Below are 22,653 nucleotides of genomic sequence, written 5' to 3' on the forward strand. Positions count from 1 at the left end.
CCTTAGTTGTTGCATTGACTTTGTATCATAAATAGTAGACCAAATTCTTAAGTGAAACAGCTAGAATTACAAAGCTTTCCTTGAATGTTATCAAATAACATAAGGGTCTATCATCTTTGACATACAAAAACGATAAGCTATCAGCACAGGATAAATTTTGAGTTGTTTATGGAAGTAGATGTGATGTATTTTTAGTGCTCTGTGGTATTGTATACTTTATACATATGGGATGCATTATCAAAGTAACTAGCCAGTTATGAAGGCAGCAAACATGGACACAACATTTTCATTTAAAAAAAAAAAGTTGGCCTCAACCCCATAAGCCTTGAATCCCCAAGTTATCTGTGTGCGTGATTTTCCTGGCTGTTCTCCAGGTCCTATTCCAATTTCTTACTACATTTTTATTACAGGCACATTCCCAACACTCATACCTGGTCTTCTGCCTTATCCAATGCTGATTTCTTCATTGCCTTCTTTTAATCAACCAGCACTTTTCTCTGTATTACTTAGCCTTTCTTGCCTTCACAACTTACTCATTACAAACTAGCATATAAAAGCCTAGGCAGGCCAGGCGCGGTGGCTCACATTTGTAATCCCAGCACTTTGGGAGGCTGAGGCAGGTGGATCACCTGAGGTCAGGAGTTCGAGACCAGCCTGGCCAACATGGCAAAACCCCATGTCTACTACAAATACAAAAAATTAGCTGGGTGTGCTGGTGCATGCCTGTAATCACAGCTACTTGGGAAGCTGAGGCAGGAGAATGAACTGAGATCGCATGCCATTGCACTCCAGCCTGGGCGACAGAGGGAGACTCTGTCTTAAGAAAAAAAAAAAAAAGCCTAGGCAGACCTATGAGCCTTCCCTATCCACCCTAGTAGCTGAAGACAAAGGGCATAAACTTGGGAGTTCTAGGGCACCACTCGCCGCAGATTCTTCTCCATACTACCACAGCTGATGCTCTCTGGAAAGCACCACCTCCCAGCAGGAGGCAAACCAGCCCAAAAATAAAGCACTAAACCACCAAAGCTAAGAATCCTCACAGAGTCCATTTCACCCCCCTGCCACCTGCACTGGAACAGGTGCTGGTATCCATGGCTGAGAGACCAATAGACAGTTCACATCACAGGACTCTGTGATAACTCCCAGTACCAGCCTGGGGCTGGGTAGACTTGCTGGGCAGCTAGACCCAGAAAAGAGATAACAATCATTGCAGCTTGGCTCACAGAAAGCCAGATCCATAGGAAAGGGGGAGAGTACTACATCAAGGGAATGCCCTGTGTGACAAAAGAATTTGAACAACAGCCTTCAGCCCTAGACCTTCCCTCTGGCAGAGCCTACCCAAATGGAAGGAACCAGAAAACCAAGTCTGGTAATATGACAAAACAAGGCTCTTTTACACCCTCAAAAAATCACACTAGCTCACCAGCAATGGATCCAAACCAAGAAGAAATCCCTGATTTACCTGAAAAAGAATTCAGGAGGTTAGTTATTAAGCTAATTAGGGAGGCACCAGAGAAAGGTGAAGCCCAGTGCAAGGAAATCCAAAAAATGATACAAGAAGTAAAGGGAGAAATATTCGAGGAAATAGCATAAAAAAAAGCAATAGAAATTTCAGGAAATATCGAACACACTTATAGAAATGTAAAATGTTCTGGAAAGTCTCAGCAATAGAATTGAACAAGTAGAAGAAAGAAATTCAGAACTCAAAGACAAGGTCTTTGAATTAACCCAATCAAACAAAGACAAAGAAAAAAGATTAAGAAAATATGAACAAAACCTCCAAGAAGTCTGGGATTCTATTAAATGACCAAACTAAGAACAATCAGTGTTGCTGAGGAAGATGAGAAATCTAAAAGTTTGGAAAACATATTTGGGGAAATGATTGATGAAAACTTTCCTGGCTTTGGTAGAGACCTAGACATCCAAATACAAGAAGCACAAAGAAAACCTGGGAGATTCATCACAAAAGGATCCTTGCCTAGGCAACATTGTCATCAGGTCATCTAAAGTTAAGATGAAGGAAAGAATCTTAAGAGCTGTGAGACAAAAGCACCAGGTAACCTATAAAGGAAAACCCATCAGATTAACAGCAGATTTCTCAACAGAAACCCTACATGCTAGAAGGGTTTGGGGCCCTATCATCAGCCTCCTCAAACAAAACAATTATCAGCCAAAAAATTTTGTATCCAGCAAGACTAAGCATCATATATGAAGGAAAGATACAGCCTTTTTCAGACAAATAAATGCTGAGAGAATTAGCCACTACGAAGTCACCATTACAAGAACTGCTAAACAGAGTTCTAAATCTTGAAACAAATCCTGGAAACACATCAAAACAAAATCTCTTTAAAGCATAAATCACACAGGACCTATGAAACAAAAATATTAGTTAAAAGGCAAAGCCAAAAACAAAAAAACCAAGGTACACAGACCACAAATAGCACAATGAATGCAACGTTACCTCACATCTCAATACTAACATTGAATGTAAATGGCCTAAATGCTCCACTTAAAAGATACAGAGCTGCCGAATGGATAAGAACTCACCAACTGCTGGGCACGATGGCTCACACCTGTAATCCCAGCACTTTAGGAGGCCGAGGCGGGTGGATCACGAGGTCAGGAGATTGAGACCATCCTGGCTAACGTGGTGAAACCCTGTCTCTACTAAATACAAAAATTAGCCTGGTGTGGTAGCACACACCTGTAGTTCCAGCTACTTGGGAGGCTGAGGCAGGAGAATCACCTGAACCTGGGAGGTGGAGGTTGCAGTGAGCAGAGATCATGCCACTACACTCCAGCCTAGGCAACAGAGCATGATTCCATCTCAAAAAAAAAAAGAGCTCACCAACCAACTATCTGCTGCCTTCAGGAGACTCACCTAACACATAAGGACTCACATAAACTTAAAGTAAAGGGGTGGAAAAAGGCATTTCATGCGAATGAACACCAAAAACAAGTAGGGGCAGCTATTCTTATATCAGACAAAACAAACTTTAAAGCAACAGTGGTTAAAAGAGACAAAGAGGGAGACTGTATAATGGTAAAAGGCCTTGTCCAACAGGAAAATATCACAATCGTAAACATATATGCACCTGACACCAGAGCTCCCAAATTTATAAAGCGATTACTAATAGACCTAATAAATGAGATAGACACCAGCACAATAATAGTGGGAACTTCAATACTCCACTGACGGCACTAGACAGGTCATCAAGAGACAGAAAGTCAACAAAGAAACAATGGATTTAAACTATACCTTGGAACAAATGGACTTAACAGATATATACAGAACATTTCATCCAGCAACCTCAGAATACACATTCTATTCAACAGCACATGGAACTTTCTGTAAGATAGACCATATGATAGGCCATAAAACAAGCCTCAATAAATTTAAGAAAATTGAAATTATATCAATCACTCTCTCAGATTACAGTGGAATAAAACTGGAAATCAACTCCAAAAGGAACCTTCAAAACCATGCAAATATATGGAAATTAAATAACCTGCTCCCGAATGAGCATTGGGTCAAAAACGAATGGAAATTTAAAAATTCTTCAAACTCAATGACAACAATGACACAACCTATCGAAACGTCTGGGATACAGCAAAGGTGGTGCTAAGAGGAAAGTTCATAGCCCTAAATGCCTACATCAAAAAGGCTGAAACAGCACAAACTGACATTCTAAGGTCACATCTCAAGGAACTGGAGAAACAAGAACAAACCAAATGCAAACCCAGCAGAAGAAAGGAAATATCCAATACTGACACTGCTGAAATACAAAAGATCATTCAAGGCTACTATGAACACCTTTATGCACATAAACTAGAAAATGTAGAAAAGATGGATAAATACCTGGAAAAATATAACCCCTAGCTTAAGTCAGGAATAATTAGGTACCCTGAACAGATCAGTTACAAGCAGTGAGATTGAAACGGTAATTTAAAAATTACCGACAACAAAAAAGTCTAGGACCAGAGGGATTCACAGCAGAATTCTATCAGGCATTCAGAGAAGAATTGGTACCAATCCTTTTGACGCTATTCCACAAGATAGAGAAAGAGAGAACCCTCCCTAATTCATTCTATGAAGCCAGCATCACCCTAATACTAAAACCAGGAAAGGATGTAACCAAAAAAGAAAACAACAGCCCAATATCCCTGATGAACATAGATGCTAAAATCATTAACAAAATACTAGCTAATTGAATCCAACAACATATCAAAAAGATAATACACCACGAGCAAGTGGGTTTCATACCAGGGATGCAGAGATGGTTTAACATACACAAGTCAATAAATGTGATATACCACATAAACAGAATTAAAAACAAACCACATGATCATCTCAATAGATGCAGAAAAGGCATTTGACAAAATCCAGCCTCCCTTTATGATTAAAACTCTCAGCAAAATCAGCATACATGGGACATACCTCAATGTAATAAAAGCCATCTATGACAAACCCACAGCCAACATTATACTGAATGGGGAAAAGTTGAAAGCATTCCCTCTGAGAACTGGAGCAAGACAAGGTTGCCCACTCTCACCACTCCTCTTCAACATAGTAATGGAAGTCCCAGCCAGAGCAATCAGACAAGAGAAAGAAAGGACATTCAAATAGGTAAAGAGGAAATCAAACTGTCACTGTTTGCTGACAATATGATCGTTTACCTTGAAAACCCTAAAGACTCCTCCAGAAAGCTCCTAGAACCGATAAAAGAATTCAGCAAAGTTTCTGGATACAAGATTAATGTACACAAATCAGTAGCTCTCCTATACACCAACAGCGACCAAGTGGAGAATCAAATCAGGAACTCAACTCTTTTTACAGTTGCTGCAAAAACAAAAACAAACAAACAAAAAAACTTAGGAATACACCTAACTAAGGAGGCGAAAGACCTCTACAAGGAAAACTACAAAACACTGCTGAAATAAATCATAGATGACACAAACAAATGGAAACACATCCCATGCTCATGGATGGGTAGAATCAATATTGTGAAAATGACCATACTGCCAAAAGCAATCCACAAATTCAATGCAATCCCCATCAAAATACCGTCATCATTCTTCGCAGAATTAGAAAAAGCAATTCTAAAATTCATATGGAACCAAAAAGAGCCCGCATAGCCAAAGCAAGACTAAGCATAAAGAACAAATCTGGAGGCATCACACTACCTGATTTCAAACTATATTAAAAGGCCATAGTCACCAAAATAGCACAGTACTGGTACAGAATGGCATACAGAGCAATGGAAAAGAATAGAGAACCCAGAAATAATCCCAAATACTTAACAGCCAACTGATCTTCGATAAAGCAAACAAAAACATAAAGTGGGGGAAATGATACCCTTTTCCACAAATGGTAATAATTGGCTAGCCACATGTAGGAGAATGAAACTGGATCCTCATCTCTCACCTTATACAAAAATCAACTCAACATGGATTAAGAATTTAATCTAAGACCTGAAACTATAAAATTATAGAAGATAACATTGGACAAACCCTTCTAGACATTGGCTTAGGCAAGGATTTCATGACAAAGAACAGTAAAGCAAATACAAGAAAAACAAAGATAATTACCTGAGACTTAATTAAACTGAAGAGCTTTTGCACAGCAAAAGGAACATTCAGCAGAGTAAACAGCAACCCACAGAGTGGGAGAAAATATTCACAATCTATACATCTGACAAAGGACTAATATCCAGAATCTACAATGAACTCAAACAAATCACTAAGAAAAAAACAATCTTATCAAAAAGTGGGCTAAGGACATGAATAGACAATTCTCAGAAGAAGATATACAAATGGCCAACAAACATATGAAAAAATGCTCAACATCACTAATGATCAGGGAAATGCAAATCAAAACCACAATGTGATACCACCTTACTCCTGCATGAATGGCCATAATCAAAAAATTAAAAAACAGTAGATGTTGGCATGGATGCAGTGATCAGGGAACACTTCTACACTGCTTGATGGGAACGTAAACTAGTACAGCCACTATGGAAAACAGTGTGGAGATTCCTTAAAGAACTAAAAGTAGAACTACCCCTTGATCCAGCAATCCCACTATTGGGTATCTACTCAGAGGAAAATAAGTCATTGTATGAAAAAGATACTTGCACACACATGTTTATAACAGCACAATTTGCAAATGCAAAATCGTAGAACCAACCCAAATGCCCATCAATCAATGAGTGGATAAAGAAACTGTGATATATATATATTTCTCAACATATATAAATATATATATATTTCTCAATAATATATATATGAGGGAATACTACTCAGCCATAAAAAGGAGTGAACCAATGGCATTTGCATCCACCTGGATGAGATTGGAGACCATTATTCTAAGTGAGGGTAACTCAGGAATGGAAAACCAAACATTGTATCTTCTCACCGATATGTGGGAGCTAAGCTGTGAGGATGCAAAGCCATAAGAATGATACAATAGATTTTGGGGACTTGGGGATGAGGGTGGGAGGGGGGCGAGGGATAAAAGACTACAAATAGGGTGCAGTGTATATTGCATGGGTGATGGGTGCACCAAAATCTCACAGATCACCACAAAAGAACATATGTAACCAAATACCACCTGTACCCCAATAACCTATGGAAAATTTTTTAAAAAATAAAATAAATCCCATTTTCTCAATTTCAAGGAATGCCCAATTTTAAACTCAACCTAAAAAAAAATTCCCTGGAGAGGACCAAGCTTGATCCACTAGGTAATAACTCTTACTCAACCTCATTGCTTCATGAAATCTCATTGACTCCCTGCCCCCCCATCCCCCTACTCCGCCCCAGGCTACCTTCTTGGCACTGATCTTATTCCAAGGACTGGGCCAGCACCATGGGTACACACACACACACACACACACACACACACACACACAGCCTAGGCATTTACATCAACTGCATCAAAAGAGATAATCCCATATTTTAGGAAATGGAAAGTTATTCTCATAGCGACAAAGTTAAATCACTTATCCTTTGGATTTAATTCACTTACTTCATGACTTACTTATCAGGCTTCAGTTATGTGTGTACCCAGCAGTATGTTAAGGGACTGAGAAGGATAAGGAGGGGCAAAGAGTACAAAAAAAGAAAAAAACAAAAAAGCTAGGAAGCTATAGTCCTGCTTTTCAAGAAACTTGAAATCTCTGGTGAAAAAAGACATGCATGTGTTATACAACAATGGTAACTGACAGCCAGCATTTATGAGCGGCTCACTATGTGCCAGCCAATGTAGACATTATTATTTTCTAATCCTATATTGTTTTATATTAGTTATCCATCACCGCATAACAAATTACCACAAAACTTAGTAGCTTAAAACAATAAATATTAATTATAAGTTTCCTTGGATGTGGCATTTGATATAATTGGCTAAGGCTACAGATACCTGAAAGATTGACTGGGGATAGAGAATGCACTTCCACAGTGGCTCACTCACACAGCTGGCAAGTTGATTATGGCTATTGGCAGGAGGCCTCAGTTTCTCCCCATGTGGGCATCTCCAGAGAGATGCTTAAGTGTCTTCATGACATGGTAGCACATGGTACCACATTCTAAGCAAATTATTGTACGTCTTTTGATTATATCCATTCTAGAGGATATGTACTATCTCATTGTGGTTTTATTTTTTACTCTTAAAATTTTGTTTTAATGTTTATATATTTACGGGATACAAGTGCAGATTTCTTCTTTTTTTTATTATACTTTAAGTTCTAGGGTACATGTGCACAACGTGTAGGTTTGTTACATATGTATACATGTGCCATGTTGGTGTGCTGCACCCATTAACTTGTCATTTACATTAGGTATATCTCTTAATGCTATCCCTCCCCGCTCCCGCCACCTCATGACAGGCCCCGGTGTGTGATGTTCCCCATCCTGTGTCCAAGTGTTCTCATTGTTCAAGTCCCACCTATGAGTGAGAACATGTGGTGTTTGGTTTTCTGTCCTTGTGATAGTTTGCTCAGAATGATAGTTTCCAGCTTCATCCATGTCCCTACAAAGGACATGAATTCATCATTTTTTATGGCTGCATAGTATTCCATGGTGTATATGAGCCACATTTTCTTAATCCAGTCTATCATTGGTGGACATTTGGGTTGGTTCCAAATCTTTGCTATTGTGAGTAGTGCTGCAATAAACATATGTGTGCATGTGTCTTTATAGCAGCATGATTTATAATCCTTTGGGTATATACCCAGTAATGGGATGGCTGGGTCAGATGGTATTTCTAGTTCTAGATCCTTGAGGAATCGCCACACTATCTTCCACAATGGTTGAACTAGTTTACAGTCCCACCAACAGTGTAAAAGTGTTCCTATTTCTCCACATCCTCTCCAGCATCTATTGTTTCCTGACTTTTTAATGATCACCATTCTAACTGGTGTGAGATGATATCTCATTGTGGTTTTGATTTGCATTTCTCTGATGGCCAGTAGTGATGAGCATTTTTTCATGTGTCTGTTGGCTGCATAAATGTCTTCTTTTGAGAAGTGTCTGTTCATATCCTTCGCCCACTTTTTGATGGGGTTGTTTGATTTTTTTCTTGTAAATTTGTTTAAATTCTTTGTTGATTCTGGATATTAGCCCTTTGTCAGATGGGTAGATTGTAACAATTTTCTCCCATTCTGTAGGCTGCCTGTTCACTCTGATGGTAGTTTCTTTTGCTGTGCAGAAGCTCTTTAGTTTAATTAGATCCCATTTGTCTATTTTGGCTTTTGTTGCCATTACTTTTGGTGTTTTAGTCATGAAGTCCTTGCCCATGCCTATGTCCTGAATGGTATGCCTAGGTTTTCTTCTAGGGTTTTTATGGTTTTAGATCTAACATTTAAGTCTTTAATCCATATTGAATTAATTTTTGTATAAGTTGTAAGGAAGGGATCCAGTTTCAGCTTTCTCCATATGGCTAGCCAGTTTTCCCAGCACCATTTATTAAATAGGGAATCCTTTCCCCATTTCTTGTTTTTGTCAGGTTTGTCAAAGATCAGATGGTTGTAGATGTGTGGTATTATTTCTGAGGGCTCTGTTCTGTTCCATTAGTCTATATCTCTGTTTTGGTACCAGTACCATGCTGTTTTGGTTACTGTAGCCTTGTAGTATAGTTTGAAGTCAGGTAGCATGATGCCTCCAGCTTTGTTCTTTTGGCTTAGGATTGACTTGGCAATGTGGGCTCTTTTTTGGTTCCATATGAACTTTAAAGTAGTTTTTTCCAATTCTGTGAAGAAAGTCGTTGGTAGCTTGATGGGGATGGCATTGAATCTATAAATTACCTTGGGCAGTATGGCCATTTTAGCAATATTGATTCTTCCTATCCATGAGCATGGAATGTTCTTCCATTTGTTTGTGTCCTCTTTTATTTCATTGAGCAGTGGTTTGTAGTTCTCCTTGAAGAGGTCCTTCACATCCCTTGTAAGTTGGATTCCTAGGTATTTTATTCTCTTTGAAGCAATTGTGTATGGTAGTTCACTCATGATTTGGCTCTCTGCTTGTCTGTTATTGGTGTATAAGAATGCTTGTGATTTTTGCACATTGATTTTGTATCCTGACACTTTGCTGAAGTTGCTTATCAGCTTAAGGAGGTTTTGGGATGAGACGATGGGGTTTTCTAAATATACAATCATGTCATCCGCAAACAGGGACAATTTGACTTCCTCTTTTCCTAATTGAATACCCTTTATTTTTCTCCTGCCTGATTGCCCTGGCCAGAACTTCCAACACTGTGTTGAATAGGAGTGGTGAGAGAGGGCATCCCTGTCTCGTGCCAGTTTTCAAAGGGCATGCTTCCAGTTTTTGCCCATTCAGTATGATATTGGCTGTGGGTCTGTCAAAAATAGCTCTTATTATTTTGAGACATGTCCCATCAATACCTAGTTTATTGAGAGTTTTTAGCATGAAGGGCTGTTGAATTTTGTCAAAGGCCTTTGCTGCATCTATTGAGATAATCATGTGGTTTTTGTCTTTGGTTCTGTTTATATGCTGGATTATGTTTATTAATTTGCATATGTCCAACCAGCCTTGCATCCTAGGGATGAAGCCAACTTGATCATGGTGGATAAGCTTTTTGATGTGTTGCTGGATTCGGTTTGCCAGTATTTTATTGAGGATTTTTGCATCGATGTTCACCAGGGATATTAGTCTAAAATTCTCTTTTTTTGTTGTGTCTCTGCCAGGCTTTGGTATCAGGATGATGCTGGCCTCATAAAATGAGTCAGGGAGGATTCCCTCTTTTTCTATTGATTGGAATAGTTTCAGAAGGAATGGTACCAGCTCCTCTTTGTACCTCTGCTAGAATTCAGCTGTGAATCCGTCTGGTCCTGGACTTTTTTTGGTTGGTAGGCTATTAATTATTGCCTCAATTTCAGAGCCTGTTACCAATCTATTCAGGGATTCAACTTCTTGCTGGTTTAGTCTTGGGAGGCTATATGTGTCCAGGAATTTATCCATTTCTTCTAGATTTTCTAGTTTATTTCCTTAGAGGTGTTTATAGTATTCTCTGATGGTAGTTTGTATTTCTGTGGGATCGGTGGTGATATCCCCTTTATCATTTTTCATCGCGTCTATTTGATTCTTCTCTCTTTTCTTCTTTATTAGTCTTGCTAGCGGTCTATCAATTTTGTTGATCTTTTCAAAAAACCAGCTCCTGGATTCATTAATTTTTGAAGGGTTTTTTGTGTCTCTATCTCCTTCAGTTCTGCTCTGATCTTAGTTATTTCTTGCCTTCTGCTAGCTTTTGAATGTGTTTGCTCTTGCTTCTCTAGTTCTTTTAATTGTGATGTTAGGGTATGAATTTTAGATCTTTCCTGCTTTCTCTTGTGGGCATTTAATGCTATAAATTTCCCTCTACACACTGCTTTAAATGTGTCCCAGAGATTCTGGTATGTTGTGTCTTTGTTCTCATTGGTTTCAAAGAACATCTTTATTTCTGCCTTCATTTCATTATGTACCCAGTAGTCATTCAGGAGCAGGTTGTTCAGTTTCCATGTAGTTGAGTGGTTTTGAGTGAGTTTCTAAATCCTGAGTTCTAGTTTGATTGCACTGTGGTCTGAGAGACAGTTTGTTATAATTTCTGTTCTTTTACATTTGCCAAGGAGTGCTTTACTTCCAACTATATGGTCAATTTTGGAATAAGTGCGATGTGGTGCTGAGAAGAATGTATATTCTGTTGATTTGGAGTGGAGAGCTCTGTAGATGTCTATTAGGTCTGCTTGGTGCAGAGCTGAGTTCAATTCCTGGATATCCTTGTTAACTTTCTGTCTCGTTGATCTGTCTAATGTTGACAGTGAGGTGTTAAAGTCTCCCATTATTATTGTGTGGGAGTCTAAGTCTCTTTGTAGGTCTCTAAGGACTTGCTTTATGACTCTGGGTGCTCCCGTATTGGGTGCATATATATTTAGGATAGTTAGCTCTTCTTGTTGAATTGATCCCTTTACCATTATGTAATGGCCTTCTTTGTCTCTTTTGATCTTTGTTGGTTTGAAGTCTGTTTTATCAGAGACTAGGATTGCAACCCCTGCTTTTTTTCGTTTTCCATTTGCTTGATAGATCTTCCTCCATCCCTTTATTTTGAGCCTGTGTGTCTCTGCCCGTGAGATGGGTTTCTTGAATACAGCACACTGACTCCTTATGCAATTTGCCAGCCTGTGTCTTTTAATTGGAGCGTTTAGCCCATTTACATTTAAGGTTAATATTGTTATGTGTGAATTTGATCCTGTCATTATGATGTTAGCTGGTTATTTTGCTCGTTAGTTGATGCAGTTTCTTCCTAGCATCAATGGTCTTTACAATTTGGCATGTTTTTGCAGTGGCTGGTACCAGTTGTTCCTTTCCATGTTTAGTGCTGCCTTCAGGAGCTCTTGTAAGGCAGGCCTGGTGGTGACAAAATCTCTCAGCATTTCCTTGTCTGTAAAGGATTTTATTTCTCCTTCATGTATGTAGCTTAGTTTGGCTGGATATGAAATTCTGGGTTGAAAATTCTTTTCTTTAAGAATGTTGAATATTGGCCCCCACTCTCTTCTGGCTTGTAGAGTTTCTGTGAGAGATCCGCTGTTAGTTTGATGGGCTTGCCTTTGTGGGTAACCCGACCTTTCTCTCTGGCTGCCCTTAACATTTTTTCCTTCATTTCTACTTTGGTGAATCTGACAATTATGTGTCTTGGAGTTGCTCTTCTTGAGGAGTATCTTTGCGGTGTTCTCTGTATTTCCTGAATTTGAATGTTGGCCTGCCTTGCTAGGTTGGGGAAGTTCTCCTGGATAATATCCTGAAGAGTGTTTTCCAACTTGGTTCCATTCTCCCCATCACTTTCAGGTACACCAATCAGATGTAGATTTGGTCTTTTCACATAGTCCCATATTTCTTGGAGGCTTTGTTAGTGGCTTTTTACTCTTTTTTCTCTAAACTTATCTTCTTGCTTCATTTCATTCATTGGATCTTCAATCACTGATACCCTTTCTTCCACTTGATCGAATCAGCTACTGAAGATTGTGCATTTGTCACAGTTTTCATGCCGTGGTTTTCAGCTCCATCAGGTCATTTAAGGTCTTCTCTATGCTGTTTATTCTAGTTAGCCATTCATCTAATCTTTTTTCAAGGTTTTTGGCTACTTTGCGGTGGGTTCGAACATTCTCCTTTAGCTTAGAGAAGTTTGTTATTACCGATCGTCCAAAGCCTTCTTCTCTCAACTCGTCAAAGTCATTCTCCGTCCAGCTTTGTTCCATTGCTGGCGAGGAGCTGCTTTCCTTTGGAGGAGAAGAGGTGCTCTGATTTTTAGAGTTTTCAGCTTTTCTGCTCTGGTTTCTCTCCATCTTTGTGGTTTTATCGACCTTTGGTTTTTGATGATGGTGACGTACAGATGGGGTTTTGGTGTGGATGTCCTTTCTGTTTGTTAGTTTTCCTTCTAACAGTCAGGACCTTCAGCTGTGGGTTTGTTAAAAGTTTGCTGGAGGTCCACTCCAGACTCTGTTTGCCTGGGTATCACCAGCAGAGGCTGCAGAACAGCAAATATTGCAGAATGGCAAATGTTGCTGCCTGATCCTTCCTCTGGAAGCTTCATCTCAGAGGGGCACCCAGCCATATGAGGTGTCAGTCGGCCCCTACTGGGAGGTGCCTCCCAGTTAGGCTACTTGGAGGTCAGGGACCCACTTGAGGAGGCAGTCTGTCCATTCTCAGATCTCAAACTCCATGCTGGGAGAACCACTACTCTCTTCAAATCTGTCAGACAGGGACGTTTAAGTCTGTAGAAGTTTCTGCAGCTATGTTCAGCTATGGCCTGCCCCCAGAGGTGGAGTCTACAGAGGCAGGAAGGCCTCCTTGAGATGTGGTTGGCTCCAGCCCATTCGAGCTTCCCAGCCACTTTGTTTACCTACTCAAGCCTCAGCAATGGCGGACGCCCCTCCCCCAGCCTCACTGCCACCTTGCAGTTCGATCTCAGACTGCTGTGCTAGCAGTGAGCAAGGCTCTGTGGGCGTGGGACCCTCTAAGCCATGTGTGGGATATAATCTCCTGGTGTGCCCTTTGCTAAGACCATTGGAAAAGCGCAGTATTAGGGTGGGAGTGTCCCAATTTTCCAGGTACCATCTGTCACGGCTTCCCTTGGCTAGGAAAGGGAATTCCCCAACCCCTTGTGCTTCCCAGGTGAGGTGATGCTCCACCCTTCTTTGGCTCACGCTCCATGGGCTGCACCCACTGTCTGACAGGCTCCAGTGAGATGAACCCAGTACCTCAGTTGGAAATGCAGAAATCACCAGTCTTCTGCGTCACTCACGCTGGGAGCTGTAGACTAGAGCTGTTCCTATTCGACCATCTTGGAACCTCCCCAGAAGAGACAAGTGCAGATTTCTTACATGCATATATTGCATAGTGGTAAAGTCTGCACTTTTAGTGTACCCATCACCCAAATAGTGAATATTGTACCCAACAGGTAATTTTCTAACCCTAACCCTCCTCCTACCCTCCCACCTTCTGTAGTCTCCAGTGTCTAATAGTCCACACTGTATATCCATAGGTACCCTTTGTTTAGCTCCCACTTATAAGTGAGAACATGCTGTATTTGACTTTCTGAGTTATTTCACTTAGGATAGTGGCTTCAAGTTCCACCAGTGTTGCTGGGAAAGATATGATTTTATTCTTTCTTATGGCTGAGTAGTATTCCATGCTATATATAAAATACATTTTCTTAATCCAACCTTCTGCTGATGGACACAGTTTGATTTCATCTTTGTTATTGTGAATAGTCTGCAATAAAGACATTAATGCAGATATCTTTTTGATATAATCATTTTTTTCCATTTGGATATATACGCATTGGTGGGATTGTTGGATCGAATGGTACTTCTATCTTTAGTTCTTTAAGAAATCTCCATACTGTTTTCCATAAAGGTTGTACTAATTTACATGCCTACCAACAAAGTATAATTGTTCCCCTTTTTCCACATCCTTGCCAACATTTGTTGTTTTGACTTTTTAGTAATAGCCATTCTGACTGGTGTAAGATGGTATCTCATTGTGGTTTTCAGTTGCATTTCTCTGATGATTAGTGATGTTGAACACTTTTTCTTATATTCTTTGGCCACTTGTATGTTTTCTTTTGAAAAATGTCTGTTCATGTCCTTTGCCCAATTTTTAATGGGATTATTTGCTTTTTTCTTGTTGAGTTCTTTGAGTTCCTTGCAGATTCTGGATATTAGTCCTCTGTTGTATGCATAATTTGCAAATATTTTCTCCCATTCTGTAAATTGTCTGTTTACTCTGTTCTTTTGCTTTGCAGAAGGTTTTTTGTTTAATCAAGTCCCATTTGTCTATTTTTGTTCTTGCTATGTTTGCTTTTGAGGACTTGGTCATAAATTCTTTGCCTAGGTCAATGTCCAGAAGAGTTTTTCCCAGATTTTCTTTGAAGATGTTTATAGTTCAGGCATTACATTTAGGTCTTTAATCCATCTTGATTTAATTTTTGTTTATGGCGAGAGGTATGGGTCTAGTTTCATTCTTTTGCATATGGCCATCCAATTTTCCTAGCACCATTTGTTGAATAGGGTGTCCTTTCCCCAGTGTTTATTTTTGTTGAGCTTGTCAAAGGTCAGTTTGTTATAGGTATGTGGCTTTATTTCTGGGTTCTTTATTCTATTCCATTGATTTTTTTTTTTTCAGAAAGTCTCACTTTGTCACCAGGCTGGAGTGCAGTGGAGTGACATCGGCTCACTGTAGCCCCAGCCTCCCAGCCTCAAGCAATTCTCATGCCTCAGCCTTGCAAATAGCTGGGATTACAGGTGTGCACCACCATGCCCAGCTGATTTTTTTTTTTTGTAGTAGAGATGAGGTTTCACCATGTTGACCAGGCTGGTCTCCAACTTCTGGCCTCAAGTAATCCACCCTCTGTCTTCCAAAGTGCTGGAATTACAGGCATGCACCACCATGCCCAGCCTATTCCATTGATGTATGTGTATATACTTATACCAGTACTACACTACTTTGGTGACTATAGCCTTGTAGTATAATTCAAAGTGAGTAATGGATGCCTCGAGCTTTGTTCTTTTTGCTTAGGATTGCTCTGGCTATTCAGGCCCTTTTTTGGTTACATATGAATTTTAGGATTTTTTTATAATTCTGGGAAAAATGACATTGGTAATTCGATAGGGATTGCATTGAATCTGTAGATTACTTTGGGGACTATGGTCATTTTAACAATATTGATTCTTCCAATCCATAAGCATGGGATGTTTTTCCATTTGCATAATCTACTATTTCTTTCATCAATGTTTTGTAGTTCTCCTTATAAAGATCTTTCACTTCCTTGGTTAAATATATTCCTAGGTTTTTTTTTTTTTTTTTTGTAGCTATTGTAAATAGGATTGCCTTTTTGATTTGGTCATCAGCTAGATTGTTATTGTTGTATAGAAACACTACTGATTTCTGTACATTAATTTTGTATCCTGAAACTACTGCATTCATTTATCAAATCTAAAAGCTTTTTTGGAGGAGCCAAAAAACCCCAAAGGGTTTTCTAGATAGAAGATCATATCATCAGCAAACAGGAATAATTTGACTTCCTCTTTTCCAATTTGGATGCCTTTTATTTTTTTCTCTTGTCTGATTGGCCTGGTGAAGACTTCCAGTACTAAGTTGAATAAGAGTACTGAAAGTGGGCATCCTTGTATCGTTCCAGTTAGAGGAAATGCTTTTAATTTTTCTCCACTAAGTGTGATGTTGGCTGTGGGTTTGTCATATATGACCTTATTATGTTAAGGTATGTTTCTTCTATGCCTAGTTTATTGAGGATTTTTATCATGAAGGGATGCTGAATTTTATTGAATGCTTTGTCTGTATTGAAATGATCATATAGGTTTTTGTCCTTAATTCTGTTTATGTGATGTATCACATTTATTGATTTGCATACATTGAAACATCCTTGCATTCCTGGGATAAATCCTACCTGATCATGGTGTATTATCTTTTTGATATGCTGTTGAATTTGATTTGCTAATATTTTGTTAAGGATTTTTGCATCAATGTTCATCAGGGATACTGGTCTATAGTTTTCACTTTTTGTCATGTCCTTGTCTTGCTTTGGTATCAGGATGATACTGGCCTTGTAGAATGAGTTAAGGAGACTTCCCTCTTCCTCTATTTTCTGAAATAGCTTCAGAAGAATTAGCAATAGTTCTTCTTTGTATATTTGGTAGAATTTGGCTGTGAATCCATATGGTTCTGGGCTTTTTTTGTTGTTGTTGAGAGATTTTTTATTACTGATTCAATCTCGCTACTCATTATTGTTCTGTCTGTTCAGGAGTTCTGTTTCTTCCTAGTTGGATCTCAGAAGATTGTATGTTTCCAGAAATTTACCCACTTCTTCTAGGTATTCTAGTTTCTGGGCATACAGTTGTTCATAATAGTCTCTGATGATCTTTTGTATTTCTGTGGTATCATTTTAATGTCTCATTTTTCATATCCACTTGTTTATTGGGATCCCTTCTTTCTTGATCTAGCTAGTGGCTTATCAATTTTGCTTACATTTTCAAAGAAGCAACTTTTCATTCATTGATTTTTTTTGGTCCCTATTTCATTTAGTTATGATCTAATCGTCATTATATCTTTTCTTCTGCTAACTTTGGGTTTGGTTTGTTCTTGTTCTAGTTCCTTGAGATGTGACATTAAGTCATTATTTTGTAATCTTTCTACTTTTTGGATATATATATTTAATGCTATAAACTTCCCTCTTAGGATTGCTTTTGCTGTATCCCACAGGTTTTGATATGTTGTGCTTTCATTTTCATTCATTTTAAAATTTTTTAAAATTTCCATCTTAATTTCTTTCTCTCTTTTTCAGACAGGGTTTCATTCTGTCACCCAGGCTGGAGTGCAGTGGTGCGATCACAGCTCACCACAGCCTCAACCTCCTGGGCTCAAGCAATCCTTCTGCTTCAGCCTCCTGGGTAACTGGGACTATAGGTGCACATCACGATGCCCAGCAAATTTTTAAAAATTTTCTGTAGAAATTGGGTCTTACTATGTTGTCCAGGCTGGTTTTGAACTCTCACAGGGCAGTGGCAATTGTTCTATGTATGTGTAGGAGAGCCTGGTTTCCCTGTCTGTTCTTGGATGGGCAGCAGGTGCAGCTGCATCAGTCTGAACTCAGCCTAAGGGCAGGATGTAGCCCAACATTAAACTCTCAAAATGGTGCCTTGGGCCTGGGACCAGAGAGGGTAGGGCACGTTCCAGGCAAGCAGTGTGAGCAAGAAGCTGTGGGGAAATGCAATCCGCTCACATCTCAGTCACACAGCAGCCCACTGCAGGGCAGTGGTATTGTCTTAGATACGTATAGGAAAGCCTGGTTTCCCTGATCCTCCTTGGCTGGGTTCATGTCTCAGTCTCAACGGCAGCCCACAGAAGGGTGGTAGGGACTCTCCCAGGGGTGTGTGAGAGCACTTGGTCTCCCCTCTCCCTTTTTGGAGCAGGGCAACAGCTGCAGCCATGTCTGTAGATCCCCGGTATCTAGACTATCAAAATAATGCCTGGCTGAGGCTGCTGTAGTCTCAGATGCCTGTAGGATTCCATGTGGATTTCTTTTCTGGAGCAATATATCTGTGCAATTTTAGGCAGCTCCATATATCAGGCCTGAGGTCCTAAGCTAGTTGGGGTTTTCTTGCACAGCCAAGATCATAAAAGCTCTTTTTGGAGTGTGGAGCCCTAGGGATTTCTCTCTTATTGTTTCCCAGCATCCAGGAGCCTCTTGGGGCTCTCAGTCAGTCCCCAAACCCTCTCCTTATTTACTTCTGGTGCTTCCCATCACTTCTCTGGTGAGTCCTAGCATTCTCTACTAGACAATCTCTTTAAAATATATCTACTTACTCTTCTGGTTCCTCTCCATGAAGGAGGCACATACTACCTGTGTCTAGTCAGCCATCTTCTCATTGTAGTTTTAATTTGCATTGCTCTAATGACTAATGATTTTGAACATCTTTTGAACAGATTGCTTATTTGCCATCTGTATATCTTATTTGGTGAAGTGCACAAATCTTTCGTCTATTTACACCTGGGTTGTTTGCTTTCTCATTATTTAATTTTGAGAATTCTTTTCATATTCTAGATACAAGCCCTTTATCAGATATGTGATTTGCAAATATTTTCTCCCACAGAAGGATAACCCACTGTGTGGCTTATCTTTTCATTCTCTTAGTAGTGTGTTTTGAAGAGGAGTAGATCTTAGTTGCCTTTTTCTTTTCTTTTTTTTTTTTTTGAGGTAGGGTCTCACTCTGTCACCCAGGCTGGAGTGCAGTGGCACATTCATAGCTCACTGCAGCCTTGAACTCCCGGGCTCACATGATCCTCTCACCTCAGCCTCCTGAGTAACTCGGATGAGAGGTCCATGCCACCATGCCTGGCATATATTTTTATTTTTAAACTTTTTTTAAAGATAGAGTCTGACTGTGTTGCTCAGGCTGGCCGTGAACTCCTCCCACCTCAGCCTCCCAAAGAGCTGAGATTACAGGCATGAGCCATCATGCCTGGCCTAGTTCTTAGTTTCAATGGAGACCAATTTATTAAGGTTTTCTTTTGGTGTGTGAGTGTGTATCTTGCTTTTGCTGTTGAATCTAAGAAATTTCAAGGCTACCAAGATTTTCTTCTCTATTTTCTTTTATAAGTTTTATCGTTTTAGCTCTTACATCCAGGACTATGATCTATTTCAAGTTAGTTTTTATAAGTGATGTTAGATTTTTTTTGTCACTGTCAGTTTTTACTCATTAATATTTCTCTGCGTTCTTATCATGTGTGTACATAAAGAGCTTCCTTTTGTTTTTCCAGGTACAACAGCAGGTTCTTTTCTGATTCCGCAAAGTCCTGCATGGGGTGGAGGCAGAGACAGAAGAGAATGTAAACACTGGGTTCCACCCCCTGGAAATTAAGGGAAGACCCCTTACCCAGATAGGGACTGATTGGAGAGGTGGAAGGGAACAAGGTGAAAGGTAGGGGTCCTGGTAAGAGAAAGCAGGGGGGCCTGAGAACACAGAGGAAAGTGGTTGAGAAATGTTCTCTCATATGCTCTTTAAGAAAAGCAAATGCCCCTTTTTTTTTGTCCCAGAAAGCATGTCTCTTTATCTAGAATTAGGCCATGTGCCCACTCCTGAAACAGTAGCTATGACCAAGGGATGAGATTTTGCCCAATACCTCAGGCCTGGCTTGCATGTGCCATTCCTAGGGCCAGGAGTGGAGTCAGAATCCTCAAATGACATGCTACACATGAGGAGGGTGTCCACACTCAAGTAAAATTGGGATGGATACCAAGAGAAGGGGTTACGTTCCCTTCTCACAATGCCTCTGTTCAAGTACTACGGGCTTTTAGAATTTGCCATACTGTACCCCCACCCCAGCCTACCTCACCCTGGTCTCTCTGAGGAGGGGCCTTTTACTTCTCTGAATGACCTGTGGTACTGATTTTCTGCATTTTTCAAATTTTCAATCATCCTACTTGTTAATTTACTTTCTGCAGATGCTGTCATCTCCCTGCTCTGCTATGTCTTCATTCCTCACAGTACCTGAACACAAAGCTGTGGTGTTATCAGACTTTAACTGAAGGTTTGGGGTCCCGAAGAGGATTATAACATAGCACAAAACTCAAAATTGAACATTGATGATGTCATTATGAATATCCAAAAGTTCCCTGACCAAACTCATTTTAAGGACTGCGGTAATTTAAAAGTATGTCTACAAATTAGTTGATACTTCTTTATTCAAAAGGTGGAGCCGAATTCCCCTCCCCTTGAATGTGGACTAGGAGTTAGTGACTCACTTTCAACAAATAATGTGTGGCAGAAGTGAAGATATTTGACTTCTGAGGCTAGGTCATACAAAGGATAAAGTTTCTACCTGGCTCGTTCTCTTTAGGATCACCCTGGGGGAAGCCAGCTACCATGTAATGAAGGTACTCAAGCAGCCCTGGGAAAGAACCATGTGAAAAGAAACTGGGGCCTCCCACCAATAGCCAGCATCAACTTGCCAGCCATGCATGCCATCTTGGAAAGATATCTCCTAGTTCCAGCTAAGACTTTAGCCGCCTATAACCCCAGCTGACATCTTGTTTGCAACCTCATGAGAAGATCCTTAGTTGAGGGGCAACCAAACTCCTGACCCACAGAAATTGTGAGAGATAATAATGCTTATTGCTATTTTAAGCTGCAAAGTTTTGGAGTAATTTGCTATGTAGCAACAGATAAGTAATACAGAGAGTCTCTCATGGGCCGTTTTCTTCCGTCTTATCTGCCATCTTGCCTTGATCCTTCCGCTTTTTTCATCTCTTTTTCTTTTTTCCTTGCCAGAGCTCCCCAAACCCAGTCTCTAGAGGGAATGCTCAAAATTACTGTATTTCACTTTGCAGAGTAATTTAAGTCTTCTTGGTCTAAACATCTCCCATCTAGATTAAGCCCAAGGGATTCCATCTTTTTGGACCAAACATACCTGTTAAGGTCCAAAACAGATATTCTGTCTTCCTACCAGGCCCAGTGGCATCAGGTCCAGTCAGACAGCTGCCAGCTTGCCCTAATAGAAGTAGATATAGGCAAAGTACTATAAGAGCAAAAAATAAGAAGCATGTAAGCTGACTTGGGGGCTTATGGAGGAGGTAACATTTGAGCTGAGTTTTTAAGGATATGTAGGAGTTCATTTGGTAGAGAAGTGAATGAAAGTTAGTTATGCAGAGTAAAAGCAAGTAAAAAAGCTCAGAGGTGAGAAAAGTTATAATCAATTCTGAGAACTTTAAATATGTAAGGGTTCTGGGTGACAACATCTATTAGTGAGCTTGGAAGCTGTTGGGGGCTAGATAATATCAGACATTGAAAGCCACACATATCAGGAGACTACAGACAACATAAATCTCTGATTCACTGACTTAAAAATAAGAACAATAAGGAATTTAGTATTTCAAATAATAAGCCCAAGGTAAGACTGCTCCAATATCTTAATTTAGCAGCTTGATGATGTTATCAAGAACCCAGTTTGCTTCTGTATTTCTATTCTGTTATCCCCAGTCTTGTACCCCCATGATTATAAGATGGTTACAGCAGCTCCAAGCATCATGTCCTTAAGATTACACCTGGACAGCCTGGGCAACATGGTAAAACCCCGTCTCTACCAAAAATACAAAAAACTAGCCAGGTGTGGTGACGTGTGCCTGTAGTCCCAGTTACTCAGGAGGCAGGAGGATTGCTTGAGCCTGGGAGGCAGAGGTTGCAGTCAGCCGAGATTGCACCACCACACTCCAGCCTGAGTAACAGAGTGAGACCCATCTCAATAACAACAACAACAACAACAACAAAAAGATCACACCTGGAAGTAGAAAGGGGGCCTTCTCTTCTTTTTCGGTCATTATATAAATTTTTTTAAAAAAGAAATGGGCTCTTGCTATATTGCCCAGGCTGGAGTGCGGTGGCTACTGATAGGCACAATCATAACATGCATCCAGAGGAAACTGCAAATATAATTGTAAGGCAAGCCTTTAAAGAGCAGTTAAAAACTTGTTTTGAAATACGGGTTTCTAGAATTTGTTTCAACATGTTGAGTTACAGCAAATGAAATGGAGAAATAGTCTCAATGCTTTTTAACTCGCCCTGCTGACTGGAAACCTTAGAACTCAGCCTTATGAGCTGTTAATCAGATAAGCACTGCAGGTTTTTGCAAAGAATCATGCTTGACAAATGCTTGAGGGCATACGGATTTATTGAAGGAAGTATTGTCCAAACAAGACTGACAAAATTTTACAAAGAAAATAGAATTTTAAAATGTTGGGATTAAAATGTAGATCTTATCGGAGTATGGCGGTGTGCGCCTGTAATCCCAGCTACTCAGGAGGCTGAGGCAGGAGAATCACTTGAACCCAGGAGGCAGAGGTGGCAGTGAGCCAAGATAACACCACTGCATTCCAGCCTGGGGGACAAAGCAAGACCCCTTCTCAAAAAAAAAGGTAGTTTCTTTTCTGTTTTGAGATGTAGTTATGAAATGTAAATTAGAGGATGTTTCAATGAACTTTTGAATTATAAGTTAATATAGTTTAAAAACCATATGAATTAAGTACTATTTAAAAAATAGGTAGGAATTATACTTCCACTCAAAAACACCTTGAACTCCTGGCCTCAAGGG

General features: G+C 39.9%; 1 protein-coding gene and 1 long non-coding RNA gene across 5 annotated transcripts in view, besides 1 other annotated feature; one reads left to right on the forward strand and one right to left on the reverse strand.

Moving 5' to 3' along the window:
- The window catches only part of LOC105378450 (uncharacterized), a 28,841-nt gene extending 8,067 nt beyond the window's left edge, over nucleotides 1–20,774 (forward strand). Inside the window, exons 3-5 of one of the 2 annotated variants that reach the window (XR_007062264.1) lie at nucleotides 19,327–19,487; nucleotides 20,012–20,220; nucleotides 20,407–20,774. This is a non-coding gene — a long non-coding RNA (uncharacterized LOC105378450). The remainder of the gene's footprint in view (nucleotides 1–19,326; nucleotides 19,488–20,011; nucleotides 20,221–20,406) is intronic. The other variant, XR_007062265.1, reaches the window with a different exon arrangement.
- SLC25A28 (solute carrier family 25 member 28) overlaps nucleotides 1–22,653 on the reverse strand; it is a 48,765-nt gene that overhangs the window by 22,327 nt on the left and 3,785 nt on the right. For 2 of the 3 annotated variants that reach the window (XM_024448223.2, XM_024448222.2), the window contains exon 2: nucleotides 20,977–21,057. The exons of the other annotated variant lie outside the window; for it this stretch is intronic. The gene's annotated coding sequence lies outside the window, so the exon portion shown is untranslated. The remainder of the gene's footprint in view (nucleotides 1–20,976; nucleotides 21,058–22,653) is intronic. 3 annotated transcript variants of the gene reach the window in all.
- Nucleotides 15,024–15,318: an enhancer, noted in NCBI's record as "tiled region #10719; K562 Activating non-DNase unmatched - State 24:Quies". NCBI's record gives its function as "activates a minimal TATA promoter and a strong SV40 promoter by Sharpr-MPRA in K562 cells {active_cell/tissue: K562}" and the evidence as "EXISTENCE:reporter gene assay evidence [ECO:0000049][PMID:27701403]".

The sequence above is a fragment of the Homo sapiens genome, chromosome 10 (genome assembly GCF_000001405.40).
Source record: "Homo sapiens chromosome 10, GRCh38.p14 Primary Assembly".
Lineage (NCBI taxonomy): Eukaryota > Metazoa > Chordata > Mammalia > Primates > Hominidae > Homo > Homo sapiens.